The sequence below is a fragment of the Homo sapiens genome, chromosome 17 (genome assembly GCF_000001405.40).
Source record: "Homo sapiens chromosome 17, GRCh38.p14 Primary Assembly".
Lineage (NCBI taxonomy): Eukaryota > Metazoa > Chordata > Mammalia > Primates > Hominidae > Homo > Homo sapiens.
Window position 1 is genome coordinate 27,355,610 of NC_000017.11, and position 12,790 is coordinate 27,368,399.

Consider the following 12,790-nt stretch of genomic DNA (forward strand, 5'->3'; position numbering starts at 1 on the left):
GGATTTAGGCCTGTCAGAGCAGCCCTGGTGGACCGTAGAGGAAGATTCCTGAGGGCCTGTTTGCTTGAGGGCTAGAGGGCTCCCTGGGAAGCAGTCATCCTGAGGAAAGAGAGTTGAAGCGCATAAGAGCATTTCAAGGACAGGGCGAGGAGAAAAGAGGCATTTGGGGTAGAGCCTCCTCGGTGTTCACAGGAGCACTGTGGAAAGCAGTGGACGATTTCAGGAAGATGCCAGAACAAGCATCATCACAGTTAATCAGTGGTAGCTTCAGGACAATCTGGTGGCCTTGCACCTGCTTTGGACACTGATAATTTGGTGGCTTTGGTTATTGGTTTTGCTTTTATTTGTTAAATTTTTATTTACTTATTTAGTTATTTGAGATGGAGTCTCGCTTTGTCGCCCAGGCTGGAGTGCAGTGGTGCGATCTTGGCTCACTGCAACCTCCGCCTCCTGGGTTCAAGTGATTCTCCTGCCTCAGGCTCCCGAGCAACTAGAATTACAGGCGCCTGCCACCACGCCCAGCTGGATTTTGGTTTTGTTTTTAAATCAGCATTAGCTGTGAGTGGTTGAGTCCTGGGGGGCATCCCTCAGAAGGCCGTGAGACACCTGCTGGGCCTTCCCAGGAAGGTCTGCAGGAACTGCTGGCACAGAGCCAGAGAAGCCAGTTACTGTGAGGTGGAGGGGGGGTCTCCCTATGTTGCCCAGGCTGGTCTTGAACTTCGGGCCTCAAGCAGTCCTCCTGCCTCAGCCTCCCACAGTGCTGGGATGGCCTCCTTGTCGTTCCTCACCATGCCCTGCTCACTCCACCTTAGCACCTTTGCTGTTCCGTCCATCTGTAATCTCTCAGAAACAGCCAAGACTCACTTCCTCACTTTTTCAGATTTTATCTCAAGTGTCACCTACTCAGTGGGGCCCTCCCCACCCCACCCCATTGAACTCAGAAACCCTCACACCTCCTGACAGCCTGTCTGCCTTCTTTGACTTGTTTCCTTCCACAGCACATGGTCTGCAGACCCCACCACTCCCTACTGCCTCACAACCAGTCAGATTCATATATTTGCTTTGTTTGCTGGACCCCTGAGTAGGCCGCCTTTGCATTTCTTTTCCTTTTTTTTTTTTTTCTTTGAGACAGCGTCTTGCTCTGTCACCCAGGCTAGTGTGCAGTGGTGTAATCTCGGCTCACTGCAACCTCCACCTCCTGGGTTCAAGCATTTCTCCTGCCTCAGCCTCCTGAGTAGCTGGGATTACAGGCACCTGCCACCACCCCTGGCTAATTTTTGTATTTTTAGGAGAGATGGGGTTTCACCATGTTGGTCAGGCTGGTCGCGAACTCCTGACCTCATGATTTGCCCACCTCAGCCTCCCAAAGTGCTGGGATTACAGACGTGAGCCACCATGTCCAGCCTGCCTTTGCATTTCATAAGCGAGACTCAGAGAAGGTGACTCCTGGAGAAATCCCCTTAGCCTCCTCTACCAGGATGGTTTTGGATTCCTCTCCAGCCAGGAGTTGGAACATAGTAGCCTGTGTCGTCTAAAATCATGAGGTCATACCCAGGTGCCTTCCCTTTGGTTCTTGACTTGCCCCCTATTCTTCATACTCACCTCCTGAATAATGTCCACGTAGTTATAAGATGAGGGGAGGGAGCCAGCTGGCTGTTCCCTCTGCCAGGAGCATCCTGCCTCCTTAAACTGCCTGGTCAGTACCTGCTTAAGGCCCCTGATCCTGCATCACCTTCTCTGAGAAGCCTTCCCTGACTACTCCCCTGCCCTGCCCTGTCCACCAGCCAGCCTGAGCTGACCACATTACTCCCAGGATGGATGCCTGTCAGGGCCCCCTTCCCTCTAGGTTGGACTGATTTGCTCTGGGTCAGCTTCCCCCGCCAGACCGTGGGCTTCGTGAGGGCAGAGGCTGTGAGTTACTTCTCTTTGAGTACCTAGGGCTTGGCTGATGTGGTGCTCAATAAACGAGTTCTGAAAGTGTAAATAAAAGAATGAATGAATTGGCTGGGCATGGTGCCTCACGCCTATAATCCCAGCACTTAGGGAGGCTGAGGCTGGAGGATCACTTGAGCCCAAGAGTTCAAGACCAGCCTGGACGACGTGGTGAAACCCCAACTCTACAAAAAATACATAGATTAGCAGGGCATGGTGGTGTGTACCTGTAGTCCTAGCTACTCGGGAGGCTGAGGTGAGAGGATCAGTTTGAGCCCGGGAGGCTGAGGCTTCAGTGAGCAGACATCACACCATTGTACTCCAGCTTGGGCACCAGAGTGAGACCCAATCTCAAAAAACAAAAGCAAAAAGACAAAAACCCAAAGAATAAATAAATAAAAGGAGGAACGGTGGACAGAGGGAAAAAAGGAAGGGACTTATTAATTAATTTGCTCCTCACCTTCCGCACATTCGCTTGAAAGAGACCTGTTGCTTTAAATGCCACCCCCAAGGCTGGGAGTTTGTCAACCCCCACAGAAGAGGAACGCTGGGCTGGGGCCAGCCCTACAGAGACTCATCGCCATTCCACCTCTGACCATAGCATCACACCCAGTTTCTGCTTGTTCTGTTTTTTGTTGTTGTAAATTTTATGATTCAATATACATGCCCAAAATAATCAAAATCAGAAGTTGACAGTTTGATGAATTTTCAACGTGAGCAGATCCACGTAAGCGCACCCAAATTAAGAAAGAGAATGCAAACAGCTCCTGCCCTGTGCTGCCTTCAGGCACTATGCTCCCTAAGGCTGACCCTTCTTCTAACCCTAGCAGCATTAATTTTCCTGCTTTGTATTTTATTTTATTGTATTAATTTAATTTAATTTTATATTATGTTTTTTTATTATTTTATTTTATTTTGAGACAGAGTCTTGCTCCATTGCCCAGGCTGGAGTGTAGTGGCGCTATCTTGGCTCACTGCAACCTCTGCCTCAACCTCTGCCTCCCAGGTTTAAGTGATTCTCCTGCCTCAGCCTCCAGAGTGGCTAGGACTAACAGGCACACGCCATCATGCCTGGCTGATTTTTGTATTTTTAGTAGAGACAGGGTTTCACCATGGTGGCCAGTCTGGTCTCGAACTCCTGGCCTCAAGTGATCCACCTGCCTCGGCCTCCCAAAGTGCTGGGATTACAGGCGTGAGCCACCGTGCCCGGCCTACTTTATTTTATTTTATTTTGTGAGATAAGGTCTTGCTCTATCACCCAGGCTGGAGTGCAGTGATGTAATCACAGCTCACTGCGGCCTCCACCTCCTGGGCTCAAGTGATCCTCCCAGCTCAGACTACAGGCATGTGCCACCACGCCTGGCTGATTTTTTTGTCTTTTTGCAGAGACGGAGTCTAATTGTTTCCTAGGCTGATCTTGAACTCTTGGGCTCAAGCAGTCCACCCGACTTGGCCTCCCAAAGTGCTGGGATTACAGGTGTGAGCCACCGTGCCTGGCTGTATTTTATATAAATATAACATTACAATATATATTCTTTTGGCTCTAACTTCTTCTGGTTAATGCTGTGTACGTGAGATTTATTCATGTTGTGGTTCATTCATTCTCATTGCTCTATAATATATTCCATGGTATAAGTAAGCCACAATTTCTTTATTCATTCTGTTGCTGATGGATGTTTAAGTGATTTCCATTTGTTGGCTATTAAGCATATTGCTTCTGTGACCATTCTTGTACCTGTCTTGGGAAACATATGTGTGTATTCATGCTGGGTATGTACCTAGATGTGGACTGCTGGGTCAGAGGCAAGGTATATGCTCAACTTAGCAGAAACTTGCCATTTTCCAAAGTGACTGGAACAATTTTCGCTTCCACGGGCCATGTATGAGAGTTCCGGTTGCTTGTCGTGCTCACCAATACTTGGCCGTACCTGTTTTTCATTTGTTCACTTTATTTTTTGTGTTGTATGTTTTTGGCCAGCTATTCTGGTGGGCGGATTGTTCCATTTTTGACCACATGCTCCTTCCCCCTGGCAGTCTGCTCCAGCTCTGTTTCTGGTACATTCTGCAAAACCAACTTCTCTGGTTCTTGACTCTTGTCCTATAGTTCTTTTTGTTTTTGTTTTTAGAGGTGGGGCCTCACTCTGTTGCCCAGGTTGGAGTGCAGTGGCATGATCATAGCTCACTTCAGCCCTGACCTCCTAGGCTCAAGTGATCCTCTTGCCTGAGCCTTCTGAGTAGCTGGGACCACAGGCAGGCACCACCACTTCTGGCAAATTTTTTTTATTTTTATTTTTTTAGAGATGAGGTCTTGCTATGTTGCCCAGGCTGGTCTCAAACTCCCTGGCTCAAGCGATCCTCTAGCCTTGGCCTCCTGAGTAGCTGGGATTACAGGCATAAACCACCATGCCCTGTGCCTTGCAGTCTTGCTCTAGGGTTTGTCTTCAACCCTGCAGACCTGAGACAGGCCTCTCAGCTGCTCTCAAGAACGCCCTTCCATGAGAGGCATTCCAGCCTCAGGTGGCAGCTCCTGCAGGATATGGACCCCGGGGATAAGGATGGGGAAGAGGATGAGGGTGTCGGGAGCTGTCTCCAAAGCCTGCGCAGGCCCTTCCCACAATCTCATCTTACTCATTTAGCCACTTTGTGGGCCCCCATCTTATTATACTCAAAACGTTGGGTAGACATAAAGCTAAATATACGTGCTAAAACTATTAAACTCTTAGAAGAAAATAGAGGGGAAAATATTCACTAGATTAGGTTTGGAAGTCATTTTTTAGCTATGACATCCAAAGCATAAGCAACCCAAGAAACATTTGATAAATTGGACTTCATCAAAATTTAAAACTTTCATGCTTCAAGGGACACTGTGAAAAGAGTGAAAAGACAACCCACAGAATGGGAGAAAATATTTGCACATCATAAATCTGATAAAGGACTTGTATTTAGAATAGAGAAAGAACACTTGGAACTTATATGTTAGTGCGAAAGTAACTGCGGTTTTGCCATTAAAAGTTTGCCATTACCTTTAACAGCAAAACCGCAATTACTTTTGCACTAATCTAGTAATGTGATCTGATCAAAGCCACCAGAAGCTGGAGGAGGACTGTGGCCCTGCTGACACTTGGGTTTCAGGCTTGTAGCCTCCAGACCTGTGGGAGAATAAATGTCTTTTGTTTCAAGCCACGAAGTTTGTAGCAATGGCAGCCCTACGAAATGAATGCAGGAAATTACACTGATGTAGCAAAACGTTTGAAAGCCTGTTTCCCTAAGTACGTGTGTGTGGGTGTGGGTGTGGGGGTGTGTGTGTGTGTGTGTGTGTCCCTGTCCTTGCATGTGTGGCGGCTGCTGCCTTCCCCTCACTCCCAACTTCCACCATTCAAATAACCTCATCTACCTTTCAGCACTTTCCATAGAAACCCAGCCTGCCAGGCCTGGTGGCTCACACCTGTAATCCCAGCACTTTGGCCAAGGCAGGAGGAGCATTTGAGCCCAGGAGTTTGAGACCAGCCTGGGCAACACAGTGAGGCTGTCTCTACAAAATATTTGAAAAATTAGCTGGGCCTAGTGGTGCATGCCTGTAGTCCCAGCTACTTGGCAGGAGGATCACTTGGGCCCAGGAGTTGGAGGCTGCAGTGAGCTGTGATTGTGCCACTGCACTCCAGCCTGGGTGACAGAGCAAGACCCCATCTCTGAAAAGAAGAAAAAGAAACCCAGCCAGCGCCCCAGCAGTTCTCCCGCCCGCAGCCCACTATAAAGTCCAACAGTTGGGTGGGCCAACGCAACGTTCCTTAGTCATAGAAAGAGGAGGAGAACGGGAATGCCCATCTCACTCTTCCCTGTGGAAATCTTTCTCAGGGCATGGCTGCACGGTCCTCCTAACTGCCCTTGACTCTTCCCCCTCCCTCTTTCCCAACATCCATGCCATCACTGTTCTGCCTTCCAGACAACCCTGGAATCAGCCCATTTCCCTCCATCCTGCTGCCTCTCCTTGGGTTCTGGCCATACCCCTGGTGTGCTGCCCGACCTTCCTTCACTCTTCAGCCTAGGAGCTCTCTGGCAGTGCCATTCTGAGTGTGTACTCCTGCCATGCCCCTTCAGCACCTCCCCTTCACTCTAAGGCTGAAGTCCCAGGTCCCAATAGGGGTCTCCCCTGAATCCTGCCAGCCTCATCAGTGCACACCGCCTGGGTCTCTCCTCTCAAACCACACTGACCTCTGTTCCTCAAACTTCTCCTTGCCTTTGCACAGGCTGTTTTCCCTTCCTCCAACACTTTCCCACCCATCCCCATCACCCAGTGAACTCTTCCTTGGCCCCTTCCTTGTCCCCAGCAGACACTTCCTCAGGGAAGCCCCGTGTGACCTCTAAGTCAGGATTAGCTGATCCTGCTCTGTCCCCATGGCTGGGATCATCCCTAGGGCAACTTCATCACACACCACTTCACAATTGTTGGGACCTCACAAGGGCAATTTCCATGTGTTGTTCTTGTTACTTACTGGACTCTTGACTGCCCCACCTTGGAACATACAAGGCAATCCATAGATACTGTGAACTTTGTTATTTAATTTTATTTTTATTTATTTATTTTTTAGACAGGGTCTCACTTTGTTGCCCAGGCTGGAGTGCAGTGGCAAGAACATGGCTCACTGCTTCCTCGATCTCCCTGGCTCAATTGATCCTCCCCCCTTAGCTTACCAAGTAGCTGGGACCACAGGCTTGGGCCACCATGCCCAGCTAATTTTTGTATTTTTTGTAGAGACGGAGTTTTGCCATGTCGCCAGGCTGGTCTCGAACTCCTGAGCTCAAGTGATCTGCCTGCCTCAGCCTCCCAAAGTGTTGGGATTACAGGTGTGAGCCACCACTCCAGGCTCCATTATTTAATTAATGAGGGAAGCCATAGTGGGATTATTGACTCATTGTCCAAATTTTAGGAGAAGGGTAATATGCCACAAGAACAGATGATACGATTAATTTTGCTGGAATATACTATTAACTACATTTATTAAGAAACTTAAAAGCTTCAGGAGCATTTAAACATGATATTCATTTATTCTACAAACATTTGAGCGTCTACTATGGGTCAGTGACTAGGAACACCCATGTGAATAAGACAGTGCCTGTCCTCAAAAAGGTCATAGTCTGATGATCTCATTCTGTTGAATCGTACAGTGACCCACTGAAGTGAGTACTATCGATTTGTATTGATTAGGACATTTTTGTTCCAAGTGACACAGGACTGCTCAAACAGGCTTTAACCAAAAAGGGAACAGATTGGTTTATGTGACTGAAATGTCGAGGGGCTGGGTCTGGCTTCAGGCATGGTGGGTTTCTGGATTTGATAGTGTCTCCCGGACCATGCCACCCTGTCTCTTGGTTCTTTCCTCCTTGAGCTGGCACCGTGTTGTCACCCCGACAGCGGTGGGTTCTCTTCTCATGGTGGCCAGGTGGCTGTAGATTTATATCCCCAGAGCCCCAAGGCCAGTGGGAAAGTGAAAATCTCTTTTCCAGCAGCTCCTGCAGGATCCCAGTCATCCACCCTGATGACCAGCTCAGTAATTGTCCCTGAGGCAATTACTGTAGCCAGAAGAAAGCAATGTTCCCAGTGGTTTGAGGAACACACCAAAAGCTTCATGTCCTGAATGTGGTATGGGTCCGGCCTGAGAGCTGGGGAGGGGCGGAGCCCAAAATGAAAACCTACGGGCGTTGCTGTAAGAGGGTGGAGTGGAGGCCAGGGAGGCAGAGGACAAATGTTTTTATTTTTTATTTTTATTTCTATTTTATTTTATTTTATTTTTTATTGTACTTTAAATACTTTAGGGTACATGTGCACAACGTGCAGGTTTGTTACATATGTATACATGTGTGATGTTGGTGTGCTGCACCCATGAACTCATCATTTAACATTAGGTATATCTCCTAATGCTATCCCTCCCCACTAGCCCCACCCCACAACTCTCCCTTCTTTAGAGGCAGGGACATGAGGCACAGAGAGAGGGAGAGTAACAACCTCAAGCCAAACTGCTGGTGCCTGGCAGAGCTAAGACTCGAACCCTGCTCTGCTGACTTCAAGTAGCACTTTCCACACAGCTGCTCTTCCCAGGGAGAGGTCTCAGACACAGGAAGGACCCTGGAGTCCCTACTCAGAGGACTTCCTTTTATTCGTTATTTTTAAATTTTGTTTATTTATTTTTCTGCTGAGACAGAGTCTCTGTCACCCAGACTAGAGTGCAGTGGTGCAATCTCAGCTTACTGCAACCTCCACCTCCCAGGTTCAAGCGATTTTCCTGCCTCAGCCTCCCCAGTAGCTGAGATTTCAGGTGCCCACCACTGTGCCTGGCTAATTTTTATATCTTTAGTAGAGACAGGGTTTCCCCACGTTGGCCAGGCTGGTCTCAAACTCCTGGCCTCAAGTAATCCATATGCCTCCGCCTTCTAAAGCGCTGGGGTTACAACATGAGCCACCGTGCCTGGCAGAGGCCTTTCTTTTAAATAATGAGATGTTGGTGGAGGCTGTCCTTCTCACAAACTGGGCTTTAGTCAATGGCTCTGAGAAAGGAGAGAACTATACTTTTTGCCCTGGTAGTCTTCTATCTTTTCTTTGAAGAAAAATTCCTCTCCTTCCCAGTCATTCCAGCCCTTGCCAAGGATCCTTGGAGCTCCAGACAGAGTTGCTGCTTGACAGATGAGGTCAGTTCAGTGGCAGCTGAGATCTACGGTGTCTTACAGAGCAACGCTGTGACCTGCCCAGGGGTCATTGCAAATTGTTAGTGCAGGCCTCCCCATTCTGGTCTCCTTCATCTGCCCATTCTGCCTCCCGTCCTGCAGGCTGGAAGGCAGACACAGCAGCCAGGAAAAGCACAAGACAGTCTGGTGACCGAGAAAAAACCAGGTTTCCGTCTGGGGCTCTGTTGCTGGCCTGGGGCAGTCAGGCCTTCTCCCGGAGGGCTTGGGCTCTGAGTGTCGGCTCTGCCCTGCCCTCCATCACACCCTAAGCATAAACTCTCTATTCCCCATACATGACCATTACTGTCTATTCCCCATACATGACCATGTCTGTTCAGCAGCTTCCTCTTGATGAATTAGTTTCTTTTCCGTTTCTTTCTCTTTCTTTCTTTCTTTCTTTCTTTCTTTCTTTCTTTCTTTCTTTCTTTCTTTCTTTCTTTTTTTTTTTTTTTGTTGAGGCAGCATCTCACTCTGTTGCCCAGGCTAAAGGGCAGTGGCACAATCATGGCTCATTGCAGCCTTGACCTCCTGGGCTCAAGCCATCCTCCCACCTCAGCCTCCAGAGCAGCTGGGACTACAGGTGTTTGCCACAATGCCTGGCTAATTTTTGTACTTTTTGTAGAGACGGGGTTTCGCCGTATTGCCCAGGCTGTTCTTGAATTCCTGGGCTCAAGTGATCCTCTCGCCTTGGCCTCCACCACTGTGCCCAGCCTCTGAATTAGTTTCAGTCACATTTGGTATGAGATTGAATTGTGTCCCCAAAAAGGCATGTTCAAGTCCTAATACCCAGAACCTGTGACTATGGCCTTTTTTGTAAATAGGGTCTTTGCTGATATGATCAAGTTGAAATGAGGTTACACTGGATTAGTTAGACCCTAAATCCAGTGATTAGTGTCCTTATAACAGGGAAATTTGGACACAGACACTCACAGTCTGGAGAAAGAGGAGAAAAAAACAAACAAACAAAAACAAAAAAAGAGAGAGACAGCACAGAGAAAAGATGATGGGAAGCCACAACCCAGGGAGAAGGCTGCATGAAGATGGAGGCAGAGACTGCAGTGATGCATCTGTGAGTTAAGGACTGCCAAAGATCACCACAACCCCAGTGAGCTAGAAGGAGCAAGGAAGGGTCCTCTCCCAGAGCCTTCAGAGAAGGTATGGCCCTGCCAGCACCTTGATTTTGAACTTCCAGCCTCTGGAACTATAAGATAATAAATTTCTCTTGTTTTAAGCTTCTCAGCTTGTGGTAATTTGTTGCCGCAGCCCCAGGAAATGAATACAAGGGTAGAGAGAAGGTTAACAAAATCGTGCATGTCACAAGGAACCATAAAAAGGCCGAGACAATGCTGGGCTCAGATAATGGCTTGTTCACTTCTATTATTTTATTTATTTATTTTTGAGACAGGGTCTGGCTCTGTCACCCAGGCTGGAGTGCAGTGGTGTGATCTTGGCTCACTGCAATCTCCGCCTCCCAGGTTCAAGCGATTCTTGTGCTTCAGCCTCCTGAGTAGCTGGGATTACAGGCATGCACAATCACTCCTCGATAACTTTTGTATTTTTGGTAGAGATGGGGTTTCACTGTGTTGACCAGGCTGGTCTCAAATTCCTGGCCTCAAGTGATCCGCCTGCCTCGACCTCACAAAGTGCTGGGATTACAGGCGTGAGCTACCGTGCCCGGCCCACTTCTATTATTATTCTTTTTTAGACAGGGTCTTGCTCTGTCACCCAAGTTGAAGTATAGTGGCATAATCACAGCTCACTGCAGCCTCGACTTCCCAGGCTCCAGTAATTCTCCCACCTTAGCCTTCCAAGGAGCTGGGACAACAGGCACATGTCACCACGCATGGCTAGTTTTTGTATCTTTGGTAGAGACGGGGTTTTGCCATGTTGCCTAGGCTGGTCTCAAACCCCTGAACTCAAGTGATCCGCCCGCCTCAGCCTCCCAAAGTGCTGGGATTACAGATGTGAGCCACTGCGCCCGGCCTTGTTCCTTTCTTAGCTGCATGAACTTGGAAAGGCGACCTCACCTTCCATAGCCTGAAGGTCTACAGAGTGGTTGTCCATAAATATTAGGAGCTGGCTAGGGCCCTTGCCTGGATGCGGGGGAAGATGGACACCATCCTCAAACACTTGAAGGCTGTCATGAGGACAAGGCATTCAACATATTCTTCTATGTTTTAAGCACCTCTGGGGAGAAATTAAACTGAGGAAGAATAGGACTAAATCAGGGAAGACCTTCCTGTTAGTGAGACCTGCCCAGTGGTGGCCGGGAGAGGTCATGAGCTCTCTGTGACTCGAGGAGATGACACAGAGGCTAAAGGACTGATTGTGGGTCAGTGAGAAAGTCACCCACCACCCAGGGATGACTGTTATATGACAGAGCCAGGATTTAACCCTGAGCTGCCTGACTTCAAAGACCATTTTCTTAACAGTTAGCCTCACCTTTCTGAACTGTTAAATGGGTGGGAACGTGGTGAAAATTCAATGTGTGAGGTCCTTCCTAGCGCTAAAATTTTCTTTTTCTTATGAAATTCTCCACGTTTTAGCATCCTCTAGTTTCTTCTGCAGGTTGTAGGAAGGTTGGTTATTTGGAAACCAGAACAGTTTCCTAAAGAAACAAGTCCATGTTCAGTTCTCAGACCTCGCTTGGAGATTCATAACTCACCAGGGGCCTGAACCAAAGCCCCATCTCCCCCAGCTCTGAACCCTTATTAGGGACTCCCTAGGCCAGGCTCCATCTTGGGGCTGACTTACCATCTCGCCCACGCTCTCCCCTTCCATGTCACAGTGACCCACTGCCCCAGTTTACCCAGGACTGACGGGTTTCCTGGGACATAGGACTTTCAGTGCCCAAGCCAGGAAAGCCCTGGACAAGCTGGGAGGGGCTGATCACCCTACTTCGTGATGAGCCCATAGCAGAGGCCCTGACTGGGCTGCAGGCAGATGTGGAAATCCTGGAGTGGATCTGCAGGCAGAAGACGAAGTAGCCGTGTATGTGTGTTTTCCACCAGCTCTGAGACACAGGACCCAAATCGCTCTGCTTTGGGGCCTGGTGACAAGTGCAGCACAGACTTGGAGAGAAGAGACTTCTAACTTCATACTAAACATGGCTTGGCCACTAGCAAGGCCTGCAGGGCCAGCAGCACTATGAGGCGGGGCAGCTTTCGGACGTCACGACTGCAGGCCTTTATACAAGTACCAGCCTTCCTGGGGCACCAGTGGCCTGGCGGGAAGGAGGCACTGCCCTCACATAGCTCCTAAAACAGCTGAGTCAGTGAGGGGTTCTGTGGGGGAAGTGGGGGAGGTTTGCCTGAGATACATTCAGGAGCGCCTGGCTGACAAGGTAGGGGGAGAACCCTGCAGGCTGGGGCCTGGGCTGGTGAAAGGGGAGGAGACCTGCTGGCAGAGCCTGGCTGAAGCCACCGTCTCAGAGGCTGTGGAGTCTCAGTTACAATGTCAGTTCCGCCAGGCCTCTGAAGGCAGACACAGGACCTCCTCCTTGCCTTCTCTTTCTCCCCCACTTCCAGGCAGTCTAGAGCCCGGTGGAGTCTCCTGTCAGGACACCTCCAGAATGCTTCCAGTCCTTTCCCTGACCACTGCCCGCTCGGCACAGGCCCTGTGCAATATCCTAAACTGCTGAGCTCCTGACACCCTTCCTGCCAGCCTCATCCCCCGCCCTCTTCCCGTCATGTGCCAAGCCCCAGCCACTGTGCAGCCCTGCTTTTTCCAGAGGTGCAGGCTGCAGGCCTCTCGCCTTCGAATCTTTGCATAAGTGGGATCCTCTTCCTGAATGCCCGCTCACCTTCTTGACTTGGCTAACTTCTACTCAACTTAGAAGATTTATTACAGGTGTGTATTAGTCCGTCCTCACCCTGCTATAAAGAACTACCTGAGACTGGGTAATTCATAAAGAAAAGAAGTTTAATTGACTCACAGTTCCACAGGCTGTACAGAAAGCATGGCTACGGAGGCCTCAGGAAACTTACAATCATGGCAGAAGGCAAAGGGGAAGCAACACATCTTCACATGGTGGCAGGAGAGAGAGAGCAAAGGGGGAAGTGCTACACACTTTTAAACAACCAGATCTTGTGAGAACTCCACCACCAGAACAGCAGGGGGGAAGTCTGCCCACATGATT